This window comes from Homo sapiens, chromosome 9 (genome assembly GCF_000001405.40).
Source record: "Homo sapiens chromosome 9, GRCh38.p14 Primary Assembly".
Taxonomy (NCBI): Eukaryota; Metazoa; Chordata; class Mammalia; order Primates; family Hominidae; genus Homo; species Homo sapiens.
Window position 1 is genome coordinate 37160698 of NC_000009.12, and position 26421 is coordinate 37187118.

The 26421-nt window shown below is 37.2% G+C and overlaps 1 protein-coding gene and 1 long non-coding RNA gene across 19 annotated transcripts in view, besides 1 other annotated feature; both read left to right on the forward strand.

Annotated features, from left to right (window-relative positions):
* The window catches only part of ZCCHC7 (zinc finger CCHC-type containing 7), a 237983-nt gene that overhangs the window by 40531 nt on the left and 171031 nt on the right, over positions 1-26421 (forward strand). The window lies entirely within an intron of this gene.
* Positions 492-26305, forward strand: LOC105376033 (uncharacterized). The gene is made up of 2 exons (XR_001746665.2): positions 492-5238; positions 26015-26305. It is a non-coding gene; the product is annotated as an uncharacterized LOC105376033 (long non-coding RNA).
* Positions 23877-24451: an enhancer, noted in NCBI's record as "OCT4-NANOG hESC enhancer chr9:37184571-37185145 (GRCh37/hg19 assembly coordinates)". NCBI's record gives its function as "activates a minimal SCP1, AML or CMV promoter by ChIP-STARR-seq in naive H9 embryonic stem cells {active_cell/tissue: H9 hESC(naive)}" and the evidence as "EXISTENCE:reporter gene assay evidence [ECO:0000049][PMID:30033119]".

The window sequence follows — 26421 nt, forward strand, 5'->3', positions numbered from 1 at the left end:
CAATGTGTTGAAACCCCGTCTGTACTCAAAATACAAAAATTAGCCGGGTGTAGTAGCTGGTGCCGGTAATCCCAACTACTCGGGAGGCTGAGGAAGGAGAATTGCTTGAACCTGGGAGGCCGAGGTTGCAGTGAACCGAGATCGTGCCATTGCACTCTATCCTAGGCGACAAGAGCGAAACTCCATCTCAAAAAAAACCAAAAAACTGTATGTTCTTAATCTCTACCACAGATGTATGCAGGTGGGGCTCAATAATTTTTTTTTTTTTTTAGATGGAGTCTTGGCTCTGTTGCCCAGGCTGGAGTACAGTGGCACGATCTCAGCTCACTGCACTCTCCACCTCCTGGGTTCAAGCAGTTCTCTTATCTCAGCCTCCCGAGTAGCTGGGATTACAGGCACAGGCCACCACAACTGGCTAATTTTTGTATTTTTAGTGGAGACAGGGTTTCATTATGTTGGCCAGACTGGTCTTGAACTCCTGACCTCAAGTGATCCACCTGCCTCGCCTTCCAAAGTGCTGGGATTACAGGCATGAACCACCATGCCTGGCCAAGGAATCTATATCTTAACAAGTCTGTGTTAAAATATAAGTGGCAGCTGGGCGCGGTGGCTCACACCTGTAATCCCAGCACTTTGGGAGGTCAAGGCGGGCAGATCACGAGGTTAGGAGATCGAGACCATCCTGGCTAACACGGTGAAACCCCATCTCTACTAAAAATACAAAAAAATTAGCCAGACATGGTGGCAGCCTCCTGTAGTCCCAGCTACTCGGGAGGCTGAGGCAGGAGAAGGGCATGAACCTGGCAGGCGGAGCTTGCAGTGAGCCAAGATGGCGTCACTGCACTCCAGCCTGAGGGACAGAGCAAGACTCTGTCTCAAAAAAAAAAGAAAAAAAAGTGGCACAGATCAATTATAAATCACTGCTTCAAGGCCAGTGCTCTCACTTTGTACATTAATAATCTCAGGCCCAAATAAGATAAGTGATATGTCAACGTATGTTCACTTTGGTCTTTACATGGCAGCTATAGTATACGGAATATTATAAGCTCAGATCGTCATAGCTACATAACTCCTTTAGTTGGAAGATCACGCGTAAATGCCCATCAAGAGCTAGCAGTTCTGCATTTGACTCTTGAAGACCGTGGCATGGCAGACAACACTTCTTGAGCTGTAACAGGTGGACATTAAATCCATGACAGGAGGTAGAGACGGCCAGATTACTTGAGCCCAAGAGTTTGAGACCAGCCTAGGCAACATGGTGAGACCTCATCTCTACTGAAAAAGGAGGATAATCCAACTCTCTTCTACTTCACATTAATATCCTTTTAATGAGCATGGTCAGATACTTTGGAAAGTTGTGGAGATAACTTCAGAAACTAAATCTGAATAAAAACCTATGTGTAAACGATCATATAGATGGCTGTTAGCAAAGTGGTACTTTTGTAAACTTTACAGTTGACATACTATAGTATATACTACATATATACTTATATACTACATATAATACATAGAATTATACATAATATACTATAGTATGTCAACTATAGTATAGTATATTTGACACGTTTAAAATGTACAGTTTCATAGGTTTTAAGATACATATATACACAGGAAGCCATCATCACAATCAAGATAGTGAACATAACCTAAATCTCCAGAAGTCCCTCATGTTCCTTTGTGATCTTGTCTCCTGCCCCTTCATACCGTCCATCCCCAGGGAACCATTGCATTCTGTCATGAGAGATTAGTTTTGCACTTTCTAAAATTTTGCATAAGTGGAATCATACAGTAGGGACCCTTCAGGAGTGGAGGAGGGCTGGCTTATTTCAGTCAGCATAATTGAGATTCATCCATAAAGTAGCAAGTATCAATACTTTTTATTATATATTGATTGTGGTTATCCCACAGTTTATCCATTCACTTATTGATGGACATTTGAATTCCAGTTTTTAGAAATTACAAAGCTGCTAAGAACATTTTAGTACAACTCTTGGTATGGATAGATGCTTTCTTCTTGAGTAAATACCTCGGAGTGGAATGGCTGAATTGTAATGGATATGTGTGTTTATCTTTCGAAGGAAACAACAGTTCCAGGCCAGGTGCGATGGCTCATGCCTGTCATCTCAACACTTTGGGAGGCTGAGGTGGTTGGACCACCTGAGGTCAGGAGTTCAAGACCAGCCTGGCCAACATGGCAAAACTCTGTCTCTACTAAAAAATACAGGCCGGGTACTGTGGCTCATGCCTGTAATGCCAGCACTTTGGGAGGCTGGGGCAGGCAAATCATGAGGTCAAAAGATTGAGACCATCCTGGCCAACATGGTGAAACCTCGTCTCTACTAAAAATACAAAAATTAGCCAGGCATGGTAGTGTGCGCCTGTAGTCCCAGCCACTCGGGAGGCTGAGGCAGAAGAATCACTTGAACCCGGGAGGTGGAGGTTGCTGTGAGCCGAGATCGCACCACTGCAGTTCAGCCTGGCAACAGAGTGAGACTCTGTCTCAAAAACAAACAAACAAACAAACAAAAAAAAACAAAAAGTATTTTTACGTGTGGTGGCATGTGCCTATAATCCCAGCTACTTGGGAGGCTGAGGCACAAGAATTGCTTGAACCTAGGAGGCGGAGGTTGCAGTGAGCCAAGATCATGCCACTGCACCCCGTCCTGGGTGACAGCAAGACTCCATCTCAAAAAAAAAAAAAAAAAAAGAAAAGAAAAAAATAGCAGTTTTCTAAAGTGTTTTTACCTTTTTATGTTTGCACTCATACTGCAGCAGATGAGATTTTCAGTTCCTCCAAATCCTTGCTAACCCTACGAACAGTCTTGATAATTTTGTCGTTCTGATATTTGTGCAGTGGGTGCACATTGTGATTAAGGACTAATGATGTTGAGCATCTTTTCATGTGTTTATTTGCAAACTGTCCAGTCTTTGCTTTGGCTTTGTATTCACTTAATAGTGTCTTTTGAAGAGCAAAAGTTATTAATTTTGAAGCCCAGTGTGTCAGTTTGTTCTTTAATGGATCATGCTTTTGGGGTTGAATCTCAAAAATCTTTGCCTAACTAAAGGTCATAGATAATTTCTGTATGTTCTCTTATAGAAATCTTACAGTTTTAGGCTTAATATTTAGGTTTTTGCTTCATTTTGAGTTAATTTTTATATGATGTGAGGTGTAAATCAGAGTCCTTTATTTTTATATGGAGATATCTAACTTCTAGCACCATTTGTTGAACAATTATCCTTTCTCTATTGAATTATTTTTTCAGTTTTGTTGAAAATCAGTTGTCTGTTGTATTCTGTTTATTTGTCTTTCATGATGCCTATACTATACTCTGTTGATTCTGTAGCTTTATAATTAGTATTGAAGTTAGATAGTGTTAATCCTCCAACTTTTTTTTTTCAAAGTTGTTTTGGTTATTTTAGGTCCTTTGCATTTCTTTTTCTTTTTTTGAAAGAGGATCTTCTGGCCAGTCATGGTAGCTCACGCCTGTAATCCCAACACTTTGGGAGGCCGAACTGGGCAGATCACTTGAGGTCAGGAGTTCGAGACCAGCCTGGCCAAAATGGCAAAACCCCATCTCTGTAACTAAAAATACAAAAATTAGCCAGGCATGATACTGTGTGCCTGTAATCCCAGCTCCTTGGGAGGCTGAGGCACAAGAATCACTTGAACCCAGGAGGCGGAAGTTGCAGTGAGCCGAGATCACACCACTGCACTCCAGCCGGGGTGACGGAGTGAGACTGTCTTAGATAGATAGATAGATAGATAGATAGATAGATAGATAGATAGATAGATAGATAGATAGACAGACAAGATAGATAGACTCTGTCTCAGAAGGAAGGGAGGGAGGGAAAGGAGAGAAAGAAAAGAAAAGAGAGAAGAGAAAGAAAAGAAAAGAAGAAAAGAAACAGGGTCTCCCTCTATTGCCCAGGCTGGAGTACATTGGCATGATCATGGCTTACTGCAGCCTTGACCTGGGCTTACTTGATTCTCTTACCTCAGACTCTTGTGTAGGTCAAACTATAGGCATTCACCATCACATCTAAGTTTTTTTTAGGTATTTATTCACTCTGTGGTCCAGGCTGGTCCCAAACTCCTGGGTTCAAGAGATCTACTTGCCTTGGCCTTCCAAAGTGTTGACATTACAGTCATGAGCCACTGCACCCAGATGCATTTCTGTATAGATTTTAAGTGTAGTCCGTTTCTTCCAGAAAGTGTGGTGGGGGGTGAATTGGGATTGTGTTCAATCTGTATATCCATTGAGAATTGACATATTAAAAATATTTAGTATTCCAGATCGTGAACACGGTATATCTGTCTATTTAGGTCTTCTTTTATTTCTGTCAACAATATAACTTTAGTTTATAAATCTTCTGTCAAATTTATCCCTGAGTGTTTTATATTTTTTGATGCTATTGTGAAATGATACCAGTTTAAAATTACAGTTTCCAGTATTACTGGTATATATTGATCTTGATTCCTATAACTTTGCTGAAATCACTTACTAGTTCTAGAATTTTTTTTCTTTTTTGGTAGATTCTTTTGGATTTTTAAGTTGTGGAACTTATCACCTGGGAATAAAAAAGGCAGTTTTACTTCTTTCCAATGCAGATGACTTTTTTGTTTTTTTTTTCTTGCCATATTGGATGGAAGGGAACCTTAAGTATAGGGCGAGAGTGAACATCCTTGTCTTGTTCCTGTTTTTGAGGGAAAGTATACAGTCTTTCATTATTATGTAAATATTAGCTGTAGGTTTTTTGTAGATACCCTTTATTGGTTTGAGGAAATTTTCTTTGGTTTGCTGTTTTTACCAGGAGTAGATGTTGGATTTTGTCAAATGCTTTTTGTGGGTCTGATCGAGATAATCACACAATTTTAATATAGTGAATTACATGACTTGAATTTTCAAATATTAAAGTGGTCTTGTATTTCTGGGTTAAATCACATTTTGGTCATGCAATATTATTTTTTTAACCCTTTTTGCATTTAGAAAAAAAGCTGCAGCTTGCTGCCAGTTCTCATGTAATTTCACATAAACACACTCTTTGAGGCTGAAGCAAATCTGATTTTCAGTGTGAAAATAAAATATAAAAACTGTTCTTGGAGTTATTTCTAAACAGAACTAACATCAGAATCATCTGACTCATCAGAATCATCTGTTTTGGAAAATTCAGATTCATCAAATTAGTCTTCGGCCAACTGAGAACAATGTTAACATCACCTTTAGGAATGTTATGCAGGTGAGTTTATAATTGCAAATTTAATTTTTTAAATAGACATAGCTAATCAGGCTATCAGTTTCTTCAGAAAGCTTCACTGGTTCATGTGTTTGGAGGACTTAAGAAAAATCTCATCTAAGTTGCTGATTTTATTGGCACAAAGCTGTTTATAATATTCCCTCAGTTATGTGTAGAATCTCGGCTGGGTGGGGTGGCTCACGCCTGTAATCCCAGCACTTTGGGAGGCTGAGGTGGGCGGATCACGAGGTCAGGAGTTCGAGACCAGCCTGGCCAGCATGGTGAAACCCCGTCTCTACTAAAAATACAAAAAATTAGCCAGGCAGGGTGGTGCACACCTGTAGTCCCAGGTACTCGGGAGGCTGAGGCAGGAGAATTGCTTGAACCTGGCAGGCAGAGGTTTGCAGTGAGCCGAGATCGCGCCACTGCACTCCAGCCTGGGTGACAGAGCAAGACTCCATCTCAAAAACTAATAATAATATGTGTAGAATCTCTAGTGATACCACTTTTCTCATTTTTTTTCCTGGTATGTCTGTCTTGAGATTAGTAAATTTTAATGACTTTCTCAAGGAACCAACTTTTGGTTTCACTGATTTTTCTCTATTTTTTTTTAACTTTTTAAACTTTTTTTATTTTTAACTTTTTAAAAATTACATTCTTTTTAATGTTTACAGTGGATTTTATTTGCTCTTATTTTTCTGTTTTCTTAAGGTGGAAGCTCAGGTTGTTGATTTGAGATCATTCTTTTAGTGCTATCAATTTCCCACTAAGTACTTCTTTAGGGCATCCCACAAATTTTGCTATGTTGTGTCTTTATTTTCTCTTTGTTCAAAATACGTTCTGATTTCCTTTGTGATTTCTCCTTTGACCCAGGGGTTATTTAGAAGTGTGTTATTTAATTTCTGTACGTAATTTGGGATTGTCCAGAGATCTTTCTGTGGTTAATTTCTAATTTAATGTATTGTGTTCAAATAAAATACTTTGTAAAACTTCAATCCTTTTAAGTTTGTTGAAATGTATTTTATAGCCCAGAATATGGCTCTCTTGATAAATATCCTGCGTAAGAATGCCATTTAAAGGTCAGATTTTGGAAAATTTCAAAAAATTTCTTTCAGTTTTTTGGCCCTCTTTGGAGATTGGAATTATATGTGTACTAGGCTGCTTGAAGTTGTCTCACATATCAGTGATGCTTTTTATGGGTTATTTTTTACTTTTTTCTCTCTGTTTTATTATAGATAGTTCCTTGTTTTGTCTTCAAGGTCATTTTTTTCTTCTGCAGTGTCTATTCTGTCCAATGTGTTTTTAATACCAGATATTGTAGCTTTCCTTTTTTTTTTTTTCTTTTTTCCTTTTAGAGATGGGATCTTGCTTTGTTTCCAGGCTGGTCTTGAACTCCTGGCCTCAGCTTCCATATGTGCTGGGATTATAGGCATGAGCCACCATGCCTGGCCAAATATTGTAACTTTCATCTCTAAAGTTTTATTTTGGTCTTTCTAATATCTTCCATGTCTGTACTATTTGAATGTAAGGAATATAGTTGTAACAATGGTTTTAATGTTCTTGTCCCCTAATTTTAACATCTTTTTCAAGTCTGGGTTAGTATTAATTGATTTTTCTCCTTACAATGAGTCATACTTTCCTGCTTTTTTGCATGCCTTGGAATCTTTGATTAGAAGCCAGACATTAATTTTAACTTGTTTTATGCTGGTTATTTTTATATTCCTACTAATATTCTTGACCTTTGTTCTAGGATAAAATTAAATTACCAAGAAATGGCTTAATCCTTTTGGGCCTTGCGTTTAAGATTTGCTAGGTGGAAACAAGAATGTTTGGGGCTAACTAATCCTACTACACAACCCTTCTTACTGCTCTATGCAACATCATGTAAATTGATGAGATTTTGCAGTCTCACTGGTGGAAATAGACACTATTCCCATCCCTGTGTGAATGCCTGGTACTATTCTCTGTAATCCTTTTGGGTGATTCTTTCCCCAGCCTCACATGTTTTCTTTACACATTTTGAACACTTTGCCGAATATTCAGAAATATTCTCCTTTGGAGATCTGTGGGAGTATTTCTCTGTGTAGCATTCTCTCCTTTATTACTAGATCTTTCAAATTTATTTGTCTTTAGTCTTCCTGGGTTCTCATCCCTTTCTGCTAAACTCCAGGAGTTTGTCAAGAGTCTACCTGGGTTCTTGCTGTCTGTTCTGGGGCCTGGAAAATCTGAAGGCAATAAACTTTGGGCAGTGCTAGAATTCACCTAGATGTCTTTCATGGATTATTGTCCTGTTTCTTAATGTCTCGTGTTTTAAACGCTTTTTCATGTGTTTTGTCTATTTTTTGTTTATTTTTTGATGGTTTCAGGTGGGACGGGAAATCTGATCCCTGTTAATTTATCTGAGTTGGAAGTGGAAGTCTGCTACTCACTCTTGATTTCTGTGTAATAATTTGAGGTTTGACTTAATGCTTTAGAGCACATTAGACTGTTTCACCTATCCCTCTAAAGGTTTATGTATTTATATGTCAAAAAGGTTATAAAAACAAAACAAAAAAAGCATAGTTTTAAAACTGCTTATTGGGAAGATAAGAATTCACTTTACATTTACGATCTCATATTTTGGCATATTCGGTATTTCCTCCATAACGCCTACTAAAATTAAATTATGTAAACAAAGTACCCAGGCCAGGCGTGCTGGCTCATGCCTGTAATCCCAGTGCTTTTGAGAGCCGAGGCAGGAGGATTGCTTGAGCCCAGGAGTTCAAGACTAGCCCTAGCAACATAACAAGACCCCATCTCTACAAAAACAAAGTACCCAGTACATATTTGAGGAGTAGAAAATTAGCATCTACTGAGGTTTATCAAATACCCAGCCTTGGGCCAGATGCTGGAGGGACACAGCCAAATCTGACAGGGACCCGCCCTCAGGAGCCCACATTCTAGTAGGGGAGACAGAGTCACAGCCGTAATGACAGAAACCAGTGCATTAGATAAGCAATACTTTATCTTAAGTCTAATTAATAATTTAATTTTAAAAGTTCCAGGACCCTTCCTACATCCCGAGACATTCTAATTCTCTGCCGTTTGTGTAGCAATTCTTTGAACTGTTGAAAGATCTCCTGACAAATTGTTACTGATATTGTGTTAAGCAATAATCTTAACCTTCCCAGTAAATGAACTGGAATGCCCAATTTTAAGTTTCTCTATTTATGAAGAAACAAAATACAGGGGTCATAGTCAGGATACTGCCTATGGTACATTTTAAAATTTCTGGGTCTACTAGGATATAATCTTTCTTAACCTCTTTTGAGATTTGATGTCAGTTCAAGGGAAGCATTCCATTGATGTCAGGAAGGCAGCTATTTGTTGACTGAAATTCTGGTACTCTGGCATAAGCTCGTTCTAAAAATCCACAAATATGTTGTTAATAGAATGGGACCATACTTTTCACTTGGGGGCCTACCCGCTAGAGGTGAGATGTCATCCTTGAGATGTTTGGAAGACTTTGTGAGATTTTTTTTTCTTTTGCAAACTAGACGTGCGCCAGCTTCTCTGACCTAAATGTAGCTCCAGTGGGAATTTCACTATGGATACTTTATCTTAAGTCTAATTCCCCTGGTAACCCAACATTGCTGGTTTTAGAATTTAATAGTCTTCAGAAATTTTTTAAGATAAATTTGCTATTTTCTTTATTATCTTTTAATTACTTTTATAACATGGGGTTTTTGTTGTGTGTATATACTAGCATTCCTTTGGACACAAAGTAGACTATAAAGAAAATTTCTAAATTCTGAATGCAGTTTCTCATTGATTTTAATTATTGCTATGTTCCTTTTGAAAATTTTTTGGCTGGCTCTGGCAACTTATGCCTGCAGTCCCACCCAGCACATTTTGAGGCCAAGGCAAGTGGTTTGCTTGAGCCCAGCAGTTCAAGACCAGCCTGGGTAACATGGCGAAACCATGTCTCTACAAAAAATACAAAAGATAGGGCTTGGTGGCATGCATTTGTAGTCCCAGCTACTCAAGAGGCTGAGGCTGGAGGGATCGCTTGAGCCCAGGAAGTTGAGACTGTAATGAGCTATGATTGTGCCACTGCAATCCTTGGCTGCAAAGTGAGATCCTATCTCTTAAAAAAAAAAAAAATTAGAAAAAGAATAAAAAAGTCTACCCTAACCATTTTATATTTAAAACAAGTTTGTTCTTTTCAGTGTCCTTACTTTTAAAATAGTTGAACTGATTTTTCTGGGAATCTTTCTCAAATACAACCTTAAACAGAATATATGGATGTGTTTCTGATGTCTTAGAATTATTCTAATATTAATTATTTGGTGCCATAGACATATTGTAGTTCTCAGAGGCTATTCATATGTATGAGAAATTTTTCTTAATTGAAATTTTCCAAAGATTGCTACACTCAAGAGTTTTTTGAATTCTGTTTGTAAGCTACCTAAGAGTAGCAAATAGGTTTCATTCTCACATACCAATTCCAATCTTTTGAAACAGAGTGTTGAGGAGAGTTCTGAGAGCTTTTGGACTTAGGAAGGATAACTAAGACAGGATCAGCCAAAATTGTCTGTTTGTTTGGGAAAAGGGGATAGAGTGATGGGACTGGTACGCATTTTTGTTCTCTAGGGTTGGTAAGAGGAATTTGGGTGTAATTTGTGTACATCATGAAAACATGCCAATGAAACCAAATGGTCTGAGTTCAGATGCATTTAATCCCTATATTGTCTTTTTCTTGGATCTCATTGACACATATTTCTATTCTACTCATCGACACGTTTCTTCTCTAAGTCTACTCTAATGACACAATTTCTGCTCTAATCCACAAATACTTGGACATTCTAGCTCTTCTCATTGTCCCAACCTTTTAAAACAACTTCAGTAATAGCACCTTTCTTAACCTCTGGGGTGATAAAATGGTGCTACTTCCAATGACTGTTTGAGGCCTTATCTATAGGGTAACACACAGCCATCAAAGTATAGATCAAAAGCTCAAAAGGTTTAAGTTCATCAGTAGAAAAACCAGGGAGTTTTTTTCTCCTGTTCTAGAGAAAAAAGCTCACAGATTGCAGGACTGTAGTTAACTAGTATTTATACTTGTCCTGGGTTGAAGCAATTGTAATAGTATGGTTGACAGTAGGTTTATAAAATACACTTTTGTAGTTTTGTATGATTTTTAGATTTTACTTGGGGTAAAATTGGAAGCGACACCTTAAAAAGAACTTTGTGGGAAGAAATGTGTACAATTGAGTTTCCCTGTTAAGTTCTTTTACTTATTTGCTCTTTCATTGGCCCTTGTATGTGTAGTTGTTAGAAGTGGGGTGAAGGTAAATTGTGTAGTGGAGAGAACCAAGGTGGCAGAATTCCAGCTATAGCATTGTTTCTTGCTGGTGAGTTGTTAGCTTGTTTGTGAGTGCTGTTTTCATGTTCTGTCAGTTTCATTAATAGACAAAACAGTGAAATTAATGAAAGTCTACTGGCATCTTCTTTTTTATTTTTTATTTTTATTTTTTGGTTAAGATACAGGCGGAAGTGCAGTGGTGCGATCATAAGCTCACTGCAGCCTCGAATTCCTGGGCTTGAGGAATCCTCCTCCCTCAGCCTCCTGAGTAGCTGGGACTACAGGTGCATGCCACCATGCCCAGCTAATTTTAAAAAGTTTTTTTTAGAGATGGTGTCTTGTCATCTTGCTCAGGCTGGTCTCTAACTCCTAGGCTCAGGCAATCCTCCCTCAGCCTCCCATATTTGACATCTTCTTGAACCTCTGTTTAGGGACTCTTCTTCCCTGCAGATACCATTCAGTGCCTCAACCATAGTTTTTAGAGGACCTTGAGTTCTACAAACTAGTTACTAATAAAATTCCAAGACCTTAGCTTATAATGACTTAACATGGTTACCTTTTCTAATATTGCTTATATTTGAGTAAGAGGAATGGATGTTTTTCAGATGGAAAAAATTATTTTGGTAGATGTATTCTTCTGTTATTTCTTAAATCTTACCAATAAGTAGCAGTTTACTCTATTCATGGGTGATCTTGACCTGGTTGATTTTTTTCTATCAAATTCATTAAATAAGAGAATTTTTGTACACTTGGTTTAATAAATGAGGCGAGTTTTTATGGGACCTGTGTCTCTTAAAGTTCTAATGTACTTTCTTCAGCTACCAAATTGTCATTTTAAAAACAAAGTGAAGATCAGAGGCAAAATTCATAAGGGATTATTTGCAAATTACATGTTATTTCGTTTAGATTCTTTATGCACACCTTGACTAAGTTTTAAAATTTGCTGGGCAGGTTCAACAGCTAGGAAAATCTGTTAAAATTGTAAATTTGTTGCTTTTGTTACTCTAAAATTATCATTTGTACTGTTTTCTTAAAATGGTCTTTAGCATCTTTTATACCTTCACTTTTGATAATTTTCTGAACTTTGCCGGATATTTTGACATTACAGACTGACTTTTAAACATTCACTTTCCCCCCATTGTCTTACGCATTAATAGAAGGGAATGTCATCTGGTGTTTTGAGTGTGCAAAATAATATTTATGGACCATTCATAGATAAGTTATTTTTAAAGGCATTTCTTCTTAAAAATTTGAATATACACGGTGTCTTGCAGTGGTTCATAAAGTACTTCCAGCATTGGTATTTTAATTTGAGCAACAGTTTTTGTGTGAGCAACGACATGAGTGAGCAATATGGGCATTGCATTATGGACTTGATTGAGCAATGTGGGCATTCCAATAGGGACTTGAGTGAACAATGTGGGCATTCCAATAGAGAGACTTCAGTGAGCATCGTGGGCATTCCAGTTGTTACTTGAGTGAGCAATGTGGGCATTGCAATAGGGACTTGAGTGAGCAGTGTGGGCATTCCAGTTGTGACTTGAGTGAGCAATGTGGGCATTGCAGTAGGGACTTGAGCGAGCAACATGGGCATTGCAATAGGGACTTGAGTGAGCCATGTGGGCATTCCAATAGGGACTTGAGTGAGCAACGTGGGCATTCCAATAGGGACTTTAGTGAGCAACGTGGGCATTCCAATTGTGACTTGAGTGAGCAACGTGGGCATTCCAGTAGGGACTTGAGTGAGCAACGTGGCCATTCCAATAGGGACTCGAGTGAGCAACGTGGGCATTCCAATAGGGACTTGAGTGAGCAACGTGGCCATTCCAATAGGGACTCGAGTGAACAACGTGGGCATTCCAGTTGTGACTTGAGTGAGCAACGTGGGCATGCACTAGGGACTTGAGTTAGCAATGTCGGCATTCCAGTAGTGTGACAGATATTCTTTTGGTTGGTGTCTCATTGTTCATTTTGAAGATTTAACATGTTTTTTCTGAGTTCCTTCTCTTTCAACCTCTTATGACCCTGCAGACTGATTATGAAGTTTCCATTAACCAGAATAAGAAAATGTACTTGCAGACTACTGTAGTTAACTGTTCATATAGCATTTTATCTTATGCATACTATAAAACTGTTATATGGGTATGTAATACAGAACAGACAAAATAAGGAAAACATTCTTTTCCAAAGGACTCACCGTAGAATTCCTTTAACAGAGATCTCTGATGGTATGTTTTGAAATTTAATACCTATAAAACTTCAGTTAGATTCTGCATTTCAGAAGCAAATCTATTGTATAGAGCCAAATACAACTATATATTTTTACAGCACGTTTGTTTTTTTGGGGGAGATCATTAAAGAATATTTACCTTCTAATCAGATTAAAAACTTTTCTTTGATCTTTTATGTGTTCGATTTGTTAATGGTACAGTTGGTATCAGATTCTTCTGATTAACAGCAACTGGCCTGAATCTACTATAAACTTGTGAGAGAAACTTAAAATTGGCCCTTGTTATTACTTAATAAACCTATTATTTTTCTTATTAATTTTTTTAATGACCATCATGTTTACTCTTCTAGGCAGAAATTATGGTTTATTGTGTAATGGGAATAAACATGATTTGTGGAATTATACCTCGTTCATATACTCACTGTATTTCTTGTGAAAGCCGTAACATCTCTAAGCATAGTTTCTTCAATTGTACAATGTAGAAAATTACTTTGTAGAATTATTACAAAAATTCGATGAGTTAGGCTGGGTGTGGTGGCTCACATCTGTAATTCCAGCACTTTGGGAGGCTGAGGCGGGCAGATCAGTTTAGGTCAGGAGTTCGAGACCAGCCTGGCCGATATGGTGAAACCCCATCTCTACGAAAAATACAAAAAATTAGCCAGGCATGGTGGCACCTGTAATCTCAGCTCCTTGGGAGGCTGAGGCACGAGAATCGCTTGAACCTGGGAGGCGGAGGTTGCGGTGAGCTGAGATCACACCACTGCACTCCAGCCTCTAGTCTGGGTGACAGAGCAAGGCCCTGTCTCAAAAAAGAAAAAAAGGAAACTGCTAAAGTTCCAGAGTAGCTGTATTTTACATTCCTATCAATACCGTGTGAGTGCAAAGTATGTTTTTTAAAAAAGGAAATAACATGAATGTCCAGGAAAAATGGAGTAATTGTTGATTGTACAGCTGTATCTTGGAAGACTGTGTGAGTCATCAGAAATGTTATGTAGTGTTTTCATTAAGTAGAAAAGCAGAATCTAAAACACTATTATCTCAATAAAGGCATAGAAAATAGAAGTTGTTCATAATGGATAATTTGAATAAGAATGTTATAATATAACAAGTTTATGTTGAAGGATATTTATATCTAACTTCTTATGTCATTCCTAGTAGCTGATGGTACCCTTCAGTAGAAAAGGAGGGAGAGGGAATATTCTTCCCTAATTCTTGTTTGTGTCACTATTTAAGGGTTTGGAGTATTCACTGTCTAGGAAAATAAATTACTTTTACTAAGTGTCTTGCTATGTGCTAGGTGCTTTATGGGAAAGTTACCCTAACAGCCTTAAGAATATTCGATCCTGGCCGGGCATGGTGGCACACGTCTGTAATCCCAGCACTTTGGGAGGCCGAGGCAGGCAGATCACTTAAGGTCAGGAGTTCAAGACCAGCCTGGCCAATATGGTGAAACCCTGTCTCTACTAAAAATACAAAAATTAGCCGGGCATGGTGGTACATGCCCGTGATTCCAGCTACCAGAAGGCTGAGGCACGAGAATTGCGTGAACCCGGGAGGTGGATCGTGCCACTGCACTCCAACCTGGATGACAGTGAGACTGTCTCAAAGAAAAAAAAAAAAGGAATATTTGATCCTGTGGTTTATTGGGTATAGTCAAGGTACCTGATACAGCCTGTTTTTCTTACCATCCTACTATGAGAATATATAAATACCTTAATTATTTAAAGTTCTTATCTTCATTCCTTTTAAGCATGCAAAACTATATGTATAAACCGTATCGCAGAATAGCACCTCCAAACTGAGGACTGATGTTCATTGTTTTTGTTCTGGCAGCTCTAGCTTCGATTTTCTGTGATTCCTAATATTTCTTCCTCTGCTAGCTCATCTCTAATAGAAGTTCTCTCCCATTTTAGGCCAGGCGTGGTGGCTCATGCCTGTAATCCCAGCACTTTGGGAGGCCGAGATAGGCGGGTCACTTGAGTCCAGGAGTTTGAGGCCAGTCTGACCAACATGGTGATACCCTTCCTCCAAACCCCTCCCCGCACACCGCAGCCCATCTCTACTAAAAATACAAAATATTAGCTGGGTGTGGTGGTGCTCGCCTGTAATCCCATCTACTCAAGGAGGCTGAGGCACGAGAATCGATTAAACCCCCGAGGAGGCTGACGCTGCAGTGAGCCAAAATCATGCTACTGTACTCCAGCCTGGACAACAGAGTGAGACTCTGTTTCAGTAAAATTTTTTCTCCCATTTTATAGTCCATTGCCTCATTCCCCACAAAATGATTTTGTCTCTTTTATTATGGTAGAATTGTCTGTCTTGCAGACCATATGATCTGACCAGCCTTTCTCTCACATACTAGTATTTAAGATTAAATAAATTAAAATAATTTCTTAGTTTTGTTTTGTTTAAATACTGTTGTGGTAAAGGCTGTTTTTTGTCTTTTATCAAAAATGTAAGAGGTTGAACAACAAGAAATTAGTGTAATGGTTGAATATGGCAATTTCATATGCTTCTGACAAATATTTCTTAAGCCTCATTTGTTTTTGTTTGTTTGTTTGTTTGTTTGTTTTGTTTTGTTTTTGAGATGGAGTCTTGCTGTCACCCAGGCTGGAGTCCAGTGGCTCGATCTTGGCTCACTGCAAGTGCCGCCTCCTGGGTTCATGCCATTCTCCTGCCTCAGCCTCAAGGAGTAGCTGGGACTACAGGCGCCTGCCACCATGCCTGGCTAATTTTTGTATTTTTAGTAGAGACGGGGTTTCACCGTGTTAGCCAGGATGGTCTCGATCTCCTGACCTCGTGATCCGCCTGCCTCGGCCTCCCAAAGTGCTGGGATTACAGGCGTGAGCCACCGCGCCCAGTCTAGCCTCATTTGTTAAATACGCTTTCATTAAGGTAGCCTAGGAACTCAGCCACCCTATAGATTGTTGCTTCAGTACAGAAATGAGTCCCACATTTAAAAGAACATTTTATCACTGTTTGTGGTGTTTTAATATCCAGACTTTTGTGGTCTTCATGTTGGAATCAATAATATATGTCAATATATTTTGGTATATATTAATATGTAATTATATTTTAATATATGGAAGCATACATCATATATTAAAATATATGCATAACTGAATTAAATATATACATTTAATGTATATATTTTAAAAATTAGTAATGCTTCTAAATGTCAGTGAGTGCCCTCAGCTTCTGACAATGCTTAATCTACCGGTGTCTAAACAGCATTGCAGTGTTCCTGCTGCTTAAATCATATAGGATTCATTTTAGCTAAGGCTAAATTAGGGGAATAACTGAAGATATATCGGAAATGGAAACCCCAAAGAGTAATAGCTATGAATTCTGTAAATGGGAAGACAGACCAGCCTTTACTGTAGCAGTCAATATATAGAGATAAGGTCTTACACTGGTGTTTTTGTTTGTTTGTTTGTTTTTTTAAACTACTGATGCCTCAGTCCTACCCCTGGAAATATGAGTAAAATGGGGCCAGGACAACAGAAAGTTGAGAGCTTCTTTTTGTACTGGCTTTAAAAGCAAGGATCTAGGCCGGGTGTGGTGGCTTACGCCTGTAATCCCAGCACTTTGGGAGGCCAGGGTGGGCAGATCACGAGGTCAGGAGTTTGAGACGAGCCTGGCCAACGCAGTGAAACCCCGTCTCTACTGAAAATACTTAGCTGGGTGTGGTGGCACACACCTGTAGTCCCAGCTACTTGAGAGGCTGAGACAGGAGAATTGCTTGAACCTGGGAGGTGGAGTTTGCAGTGAGCTGAGACCACGCCAGTGCATTCCAGCCTGGGTGACAGAGTGAGACTCAGTCTCAATAAATAAATAAATAAATAAAATTAAAAAATAAAAGCATGGAGCTAGGTCAGAAATAGCTACAGACTGAGAGTAATCACTGTAAGTAGTGACACAAAGACTAATCTTTGTGCAGTGTGGAAAGTACAGCTGGGTTGTTTCTTTGATTCCTCCTGCCCCATTGAGCCATACCTACAGAGAGCAGCTGTGAAAAACTATCACTTTCAACAATGAAGAATAGTAATATGTCATAATGGAGATTATGAAGTTCAGAAAGGGGTAAATGCAGTTTTGGGGAGGGCTGAGACTAAGAGAGAACACAATAAGACAGGCAATTAAGACTGACATGAAAGATCAGTCACATTGATAGGATATACTCTTGATATGATATAATGAGAATGGCAGTTTACCGCTGTGGTTTTCTTTTCCCAAAACCCATAACCACAGCCTAACCATGAGAAAGACATCAAACAAATCCCAATTTGGGACATTCTGTAGAATACCTAACCCAGTATTCCTTAAAAACAATGAAAGTCAGAGATACTGTCACAGCCAAGAGGAGCCTAGGGAGACATGACAACTAAGTGTAATGTGGTATCCTGGATAGAATTCTAGAACAGAAAAAAATTAAAAACTAAAGAAATCATGTATGAGCTTCAGTTAATAAGGTATCAATATTGTTTCATTAATTTTGTCAAATTTACCATACTAATGTAAGATGTCACTATTATAGGGGAAACTGGCTGTGGTGCACATGAGAACTCGTTGTACTATCTTCACAATTTTTCTGTAAACCTAAAACTGTTCTAACCCTAAACCTAGCCAGTAATGGTGCCTTGGTAATTAAAACACCATGCTGATGAGTATATGATTTCTAGCTAGCTTTATGAACCCCATGATAGAATTTGGATATGTCAGTCCAAATTTATCACTCTTAGTGGAAAATCAGGGTAGGTTCACTTCATTGTTAAGAATACAACAGTAACATTATTCGCCTTTGTAACTTAAAACACATCCCAGCGTCACATACCATTTGTACCCCCACCTCCCCTCTCAAACCCATTGCTTCCCCACTGGCCGCCCCCTACCCCCCACCAAAAAAAAAAAAAAAGGAAAAGGAAAGAAAAAAGGAGAAGGTAAAAAGGAAGGAAAGAAGGTAAAAGAGAAAGTAGAAAGAGAGGAAAGGAAGGAAGAATGGAAAGAAGAAAACTCACAATGGTTGGCAAATAAACCTCTATATTTCAAAGGTTATTGTGAGGATAAAACTCTTATAGTTATGATATAAAAGATTTAACGCGGTGTTGGTACATGTTGTTGGAATAATTCACAGTCAACATAATGAGCAGTGATACAAAGTTCAGGTGTTGTAGCAGACGTATTTTGAGTTTACAGATATTAAACAGTGAAAGTAAATTTTGGGTTTCTGTTAAGAAACACGTAAAATAGCCATTAGAGTTTTGTGGATATGTCAGGTAAATTTTGAAGGCATTTTAGAAATGTCAACTTGCTAACTCTAGGTGACTAAAATAGGTAAGCTTTTTATAAATAAGGTAGATTGAGAAATTTTTGGATATGAAATTAATGATCTGTATGATGACTGATATTTTATTTTGCAAATCAGCATAATGTTTACTGTGTCTCTTCTTGTTAAAGTGTTTTATTTACCTTTCCTGTGTTTGACTGTCTATTCTTGATATTATGTGGTCATTATTTCTTTGCCTCTGTCATTATGTACTGTTTGCATCTTTTCCGTAGTATCTTGATCTTCAAAATAACCAGGCATGCTATTTACATGAAGCAGATAAGCATAACCCATGTAAATTTTCATTGAGTCACTGAGAGGTGGTGTGTGTTTTTTCCCTTTTACTTTAAAATGATTTATTTATTTATTTATTTTTGCTGGCAGCCTTAATAATGTTTTCATAAAATATGATCGATTTATAAGTCTGTTTTACATGCCTTTCCCTTTTTGTCTTAGTGCTTTGCTTCTAAGTTGCAGATGCAGTGGGTGAACAATACCCTGTGTGGTGTGACAGGTAAATTTCCCAATTTACCTGCCGTAATAGTGCGCTGTGTAATGCCATTCAATCATCTCTGAATTTTACTTGCCTGATTAGTTAAGTGAAGCAGATTTTCAATTTAAATGTAACTTCATCTGCTTGATTAAAAATGTAACAGAACATTATCTGCTGCAAATAAATTTCAGTGGAAGAGATGATTTTTGCCTGTTTAAAAATAACATCTGTTTATGTTGGCTGGAAGCAGACGATTAATACCTCTCTAATTTCGAGGTTTACCAGTCCAGCTCACCTGTCTCTTTGCATGGATAGTTGAAATTGATGGCTGTCGAGTATAAACATTTACCTGTTGATGTTGAGTTGATGGATTTCTTTTTTAAGGATAATACAGAATCCCATCATTGGGCATTCATTTATTTGCTGCTCATCAAGATGATTGACAGTTTTGCCAACAACATGGAAAAAGGATCTTCCTTCATGATGCATATGAGAAAAATTTTACCCCTCAATGATGAGTGCCCTACAGAAAAACATATTCTTGTAGATTCTTTTTCATAGTTGGTATTTATTTGAATTTTGAGTTTAGAGTCCATAAGTATAAATTTAAGTCAAGTGCATAGTAAATTAGGGTAGTACACCCCTGCTGGCATTTTTCATCAAGTGATTGTATGTATAGGCCATAAGGACAAGGAGAAAGATAGGAAAAACCAAAATGGTTATTTTTTTTCCCCTGCACTTAGCATAGTGTTAGGCATGTAGTAGACTACTCAATAAATATTTATTGAATTTGAATTAAAAATTAGGCACAGAGTATATTTGATATTCTATAAATGTAATAGACTAGATGTCATTGGTTTAAATATGTAGCTGAAAATTAGAGCAGAAAGAAATTACAGAATGCTAATTGGTCTGTTTATGTTTTTTAAGTGAAAACTTCCTTTTAGGAGCTTATTAAAAGTAGATTTTTAAACACAGAATTCTCCTGTAAACGTCCTCTAGGGGGAAAAAAGACATTGCATACTGTTAATTTTCCTAACTGGTAAGTAAAACTGGGTTAAAAAAATAGATTCAGAAAATTCTAATGTTAATAATACAGTGGTACAATTTGGTGGTTTTAAAAGTATATTTAGTATATAGTAAAACACTATTTGTTTTCTGAAAATTGCTGTAGTTTCACAATCTGAAAAAAACGTCTTGTCTTTTTGAATGCTGTATTTACTTTGGTGGAATATTTTGAACATGCCACTTATTTATAGAGGAATAATTTTGCATTCTTTTGGTAACATTTTTGTTGTCCTTTGTTATAAAGCAAACATAAATATTGGCTTGTCTGTTACTGAATTGATAAATTGCAAACTCTTATTTTAGTTGTAATGGGTTTTGGCCACATTGTGTATGATTTGAGTTGAAACTATTTCAGGCAGGTATTTGAGGAGATTTTCTTTATCAAAATGCTTCAAATCACAAATCAACAAAATTAATTTTTGTTCTCAAATATATAGGATACTTTATTCTAAGTGAGACTATATAAGATATTTAATCTCTAATTAGTAGATTTGGTCATTTCGGATGATATGATTGTTTTATTTATAAAACAAATATTTGGAGATTGTTTTCCAATACATCAGGTTATTCCTTGATATTTAGCAGAAGTTTTTGCCATAGTGCTTAATGAAAACAGCTCAAACTGTTAAAATACATTTTTGGTATAAGTATATTTGGTATGTTCTATGCTTTAATTATTAATTTGTAATTTTATTTTAACAAATTACTTTGTGTAGTTTTTTTTTAGAAGCAGATCAGCTCAGTGTAAGAAACTTAGAATATTGTTTTGTAGCTTTCTTTGTTATTTCGTTGTCCTTCCTTTTTATTTGTAGTTTGCAAGGGTAGATGAGATTTTTTTTTCAGTTTCACTTGTCCAGATGATATTTAATGTAGAATGAATAAACTCAGAAGAGCAGCCTTTACCTAAGGAAGAAGGTATGACTACTTCAAATTGTTTCATCACTTAGTTTGACTTCAGAGATTTTTGCTCTGTGATTTGCACTGACTTCAAAACTTTTTGCATGTATCTCAAAAGTGGGTGAGAACATTTATAGCAGCATTATTCATAATAACCAAACTTGGAAATAAACGCTATATCCATCAGTTGATAAATTGACATACAAAATGTGGTATATTCTTAAAATGGAATATTATTCAGTCATAAAAAGGAATGAAGTACAGATTCATGCTTTAACATACCTGAGCTTTGAAAACACGTTAGTGAAAGAAATGAGACACCAAAGGCCACAAAATATGTGATTCCATTTACGTGAAATGTCCAAATGGGCAAATCCATACAGACAGGAAGTAGATTAGTAGCTGACAGGAAGGAGCTGGGAGAATGTGGGAATGGAAAGGTACTGTAATGGATGTGGGATATATGGAAGATGTTCTGGATTATGGTTGCACAACTTTGTGAATGTACTAGAAAATACTTGCACATTTCAAAAAGGTGATTTTTCTTTATTTTTATAAATTTTTAAAAAAAATTTGAGATGGAGTCTTGCTGTGTCGCCCAGGCTGGTCTTAAACTTCTGGGCTCAAGCCATCCTCCCACTTCAGCTTCCCAAAGTGCTGGGATTCAGGCATGAGCTACTGTGCCCAGCCCAAACAGATGATTTTTATGGTGTGTGAATTATATCAATGTTTTTAAAAAGGGAGTTGAAATATATAAATTGTTGGTTTATAGAGATATTATTACTAGATGAGCTAGTCATTGCTAATTCTTTGACATTTATGCTGTAATCTGATGCTGTGAAGACTGAAAATGTTGACAGGGAAATAGGCTGCAAGTTCGAGGCTGGCCTTTTAATGAGTTGTTAAAAAATACAAAATTACAGTTGTCAGTCTTGTCTTAAAATCTTAAGAATAGCATTTCAATTTTTGTTGATAATACAGGCACATTTATCTATTAGCATTATTTTTGCTTATTTTTTTACATATCTTCTAATGATTACAGTTGTATTTTTTTTTCTTTTTTTCTTTTTTTTTTTGAGATGTAGTCTTGCTCTGTTGCCTAGGCTGGATGTAGTTTCGCTCTGTCACCTAGGCGATCTTGGCTCACTGCAGCCTCCGCCTCCCAGGTTCAAGCCATTCTCTTGCCTCAGCCTCTTGAGTAGCCAGGATTACAGGCACACGCCACCACGGCTGGCTAATTTTTGTATTTTTAGTAGATAAGGGGTTTCACTTGTATTGGTGAGGCTGGTCTCAAACTCCTGACCTTAAGTGATCCGTCCACCTCAGCCTCCCAAAGTGCTGGGATTATAGGCATGAGCCACCGCGCCTGGCCCAGTCGTAGTGATTTCAAAGATGGAACATAAGACAGCCTTGTGGAAAATCAGTCTGTCTTGAAATTGTGTTGTTATTTTTTGAGGTTTCAGTATATTCATTTTAGTGTGAGAGAATGACATCCTTTAAGGTACATGGTGGATACATTGTTAAATCGTAGTAACATCCTTCTGTGAGCCTAGTGCTGGGCACATGTTTGCAATCCCAGCTACTCAGCAGGCTGAGGCAGGCAAGTCCCTGGAAGCCAGGAGCTCAAGGCTGTAGTGTGCTATGATTGTACATCTGAGTAGCCACTGCACTTCAGCCTGGGCACCATAGTGAGACCCCCAACTCTAAGCAGGGTCAGGGGAGAGAAACAGAAAAGAAATCCTTCAGGAAATATTTAGGAAGATAGAAATAATTATATTAAAATCAATGTAAACATTTATGAAATGTAAATATATTCTATCAAAAATTATGTTGATTAAAAAGTTTTCTTGGCACTTTTAGATTAAAAACCATAAATCAGCAGTAGCTTATGCAATGTTCATGTGCTTGAAATTAGACATCTCTTTATTTAATACATAACAGTACATTGTATACCGTTTGAAGCTGTGTGAACTCTCATTTTGTGACTCAGAGGAGAGAGAATAGGTACTTGAATATAAAATATTAGTTCACCTTTCAAAATCAATCCAGTGTGAAATATTGGTTGCCTGAGAGGTCAGTCATACAGAATTGTGTGCTTTATTATTTGAAATGTTATTTGTTTTCAGCCTGGTGCAGAAATCCTTTTCCTTCAGTTATATTTTAGAACCACTGTGTGAGTACATTACTTTTTAGGTTTTGGGCCTCATGGACATTCTTAGCAACTTGTTTTCACAGCCCTTTCTTTGATGTTCATTTGAACCATAGCGTTGTTGATATTCAGAGTATTTTGACCTACAAACATAAACATTTTATATGGTTCAAACTAACAGTTAATTTGCTTCAGTTTACCAGGCATGGATGAGTACAGTTTCAATGCTAATAGCAAATATTTTACTTATTTTACTTTCCTGAGCACTTTACATGTTTTCACTGTTTTCCTCCTCACATCAACAACCCCAATGAATTTTATCTCTCATTTATAAATAAAGAAATAGGTGTAAAGAGATAAAGTAATATGCCCAAGTAAGTGGGAAACTCAGGATTTGAACCCAACTCCTCTTGCTCCAGAGTCTACACGCTGAACAACAATGCTATTCCGCCCTCTACCCTTGATCTAGTCCCCTCTTGGCCATCTGGTAGTTTTGTAAATTCAAGCATAGCTCCTTCTATGGCCTTGAGCCCCTCCTTTCCCTGCACAGTAGAGAGGGGTTGGACTTTTATTGGATTGTGTTTGTATTGTAATTGTGTGTTTTTCCAGATGTGTTTTCTAGCCACAGGAAGAGATACTCAAATAAGTCTTTCAACAGTATCTATTATGCTGACATTCACACTTGTTTGTGTTATTTTGTACGTTTTGGAAGCCTTCTGTAGTTAAGTATTAGTTGAGCTAATTCCTTACTGTTTTTGTGTCATACTTTGTTATGGAGCAACGTAATATGTGTATGTTGTTAACTGAATCGATAGAAATCTAAGAATCAACTTGGTCTATATCATCTGATGATTCAGGGGCTGGTTTGGATCATTGATAAAGTAAATTATTCCCTGTTTTACTTAACTCCTTAGTGGCAGTTTTCTAGATTCCCATTATTGGCTTGCATCAAAAAAAAAAAAAAAAAGGCATTTAAAAAGTTATGCCAGAGCTGGGAGAGCAAGAGGTGCTCTATGTTTTACTGATGGGGCCTGGCAGGATCCTATTCCTGCTCTCCTGATCTCTTATCCTGAATCCCCTGACACCTCTATTTCTGGAATTTTTCTCTTTTGTACTTGGTATCAGTAAGGAAATACATAGTACGAATACCCTGAGAGAGATTTCCAGCTTTATTTATTGATCTGACTGTCTTTCAGCTGATAAAATGCTATTTTATTACCCAAGTTTTAACCTCTGTCTGGTGATTTGTTGTTGTTGTTGTTGTTGTTGTTGTTGTTGAAGTTCAGGCTGCATGTGGGATAGGTTTGCTCAGGCATACTTCTTAGGAAGTAGTCACTTGCATGACTGTTTTTGGGATAACTCTTTGAGTATTTGGAGAGGTCTATTGTAACTTCTGAAAGGCATTGTTTTTACGTATGAATGTTCTAAAATTCATTCTAAATGGTCATGAAAAGAAAAGGATTCACATTTTAGAATGGCAATAGTCCCTGAGGACTATTATGTCTTTTAGATTTCCTGTGGGTTTCTAGGAATGTTAGTGTAACTTAGATTTCCACCTACCTGATTTCTGGATGTGCCTATTGGAACTTGCTGAGATCTTTTTTTTTCCTTAACATGTTGTCCCCTTGACCCGTACTTCGAAACTAAACATATTATTTTATTTGCTTACACTTCAGGAGGCAATTGGCAGACACCAGGCCAACAGTCTCTAGAGGTCGTGGGTGCCATCTACAAGTAGTCATGGTTTTTTATTGTATTTTAAAGTCCGCAAAAGATCTCTTGCTATGTTAGGTACACATACTATAGGTGATCACCTCCTATCCCTTAGGAGTTGTGATCATCTACCATCATTTGGACACTCATTTAGGCAGTCTTCCTGGGTGTTCCATTTGATCTGGTGTTAAATGATAAGGTGAATATCAGGTTACAATTTAGAGCCTTTAAATAAATAAGATGATGTATTATTTTGCATATAAATGTACACTGTTCTTGTTTGCTACTTAAAGGAATGTATTAGTTTCTGAGGGCTGCTGTAACAAATTACCATAAACTCAATGGCTTAAAACAGCAGAAATTTCTTCTCTCAAGAGTTCTGGAGGCCAGAAGTCTGTTGGCAAGCTTGGTTCCTTGTAGAGCTCTGAGGGAGGCCTGTCTGTGCCTCTTTTCTGGTGTCTGGTGTGGCTGGTAATCTTAGGCATTCCTTGGCTTGTGATTGCATCACTCCAGTCTTTACCTCTGTCTTCAGGTGGCTTTGGTCTCAAATTTTTTTCTTCTTTTTCTTCTATGGACACCTGTCATTGGTTTCAGGGTCCACTCTAAATTCAGGATAATCTCACCTCAAGATCCTTAATTATATCTAGAGGGACCCTGTTTCCAAATAAGGTCACATTCAGAAGTTCTTGGGGTTAGAATTTGGATATGTTTTTGTGGGAGGGGACACTATTTGATGCACTATCAGGAATATCTGTTCATTCATGCATTTTATTTATTTATTTATTTATTTATTTTTACAATTTCAGCCAATTTGCTAAGCATCTTACATTATACAGTACATATGTTATACTTTTTTTCTGGGACATAATATTTTGGAGATTGTATTATTTCCCATCTCATTATTCAGTAAACCTGAACTCTCACACTGGGATTTTGTGGGGTTGGGGGTGTGTGGAAAATCTGTTTTATTAAACTTAGTTTGCTATAATTTTTTCAGATTATTAAAAACATGTTCTAAACATGAGTGTATGATTATGTTTAGTTTAATATTATTTATTTTTTAGTTCCTTTTACTTTCTATCCCACCATTTGTGGATAGCATGTAAATAAATCTTGAAATTTGGGGCAAGAGAAACGTAAGAGGTTAATCCACTTCTAAGGCTACATCATTTTCAGAGTAACTGATTCCAAGGATGAGCAGAATATATTTATTTAATAGCTATGAGAGATGGATTTTCATAAACTTTTATCCAAAGTAACAAGATTCTCACATTCAGTGTAAAGGGTGTTATGAAAATGTAAAGTTCATTAATATGCTGTATATTTTTATCCCCTTGAATGTAATTTAGAGATTATATACTGTAATAGGATTTATGACATTATACTGTTTAATCTTTAGGGTGTTACAAACACATCAAGGACAGTTGGCAGTAACTGAAGTTTGCTTGCATTTTAAGAATGCATTAGTATTGCTGAGTATCATGTACTTTCCTAAAAATAAAGAAAATTATACTCTTAGAATATTTACAGATTCAAATATTTTTTTTTCCTTGCAGGCCAAGAATAAAATCTTTATGAACTAACAAGATGAATTAAAGATGGAATGATTCATTTCTATGGTTAGGTTTTAATTAATACATGGGGGATGATTTTGGCACTTTTTCAAAGAATTTGTTTCTGTGTATCTGAATTTGCACCTACTCTGTAACCTAACTGCGATTTATAAAATGAAACAATCTCTTCTAATTTGGCACTTGATAGGTGCTTTGACTTTAAAAGGCAAGTGTATTTTTCTGTCACGAATATCTTGTCATTCTAAAATAAGTAAAAACAATGGATTGATGAAACTTCTTCACTGCTTTTTTCTTTGTGTATAACAAATACATTGATATTTTACTGGCATAAAATGTGTATTTTAGTTGAGTCTTTAAATTATTGCTCAGTGTATTTTGTTTATTTTAAG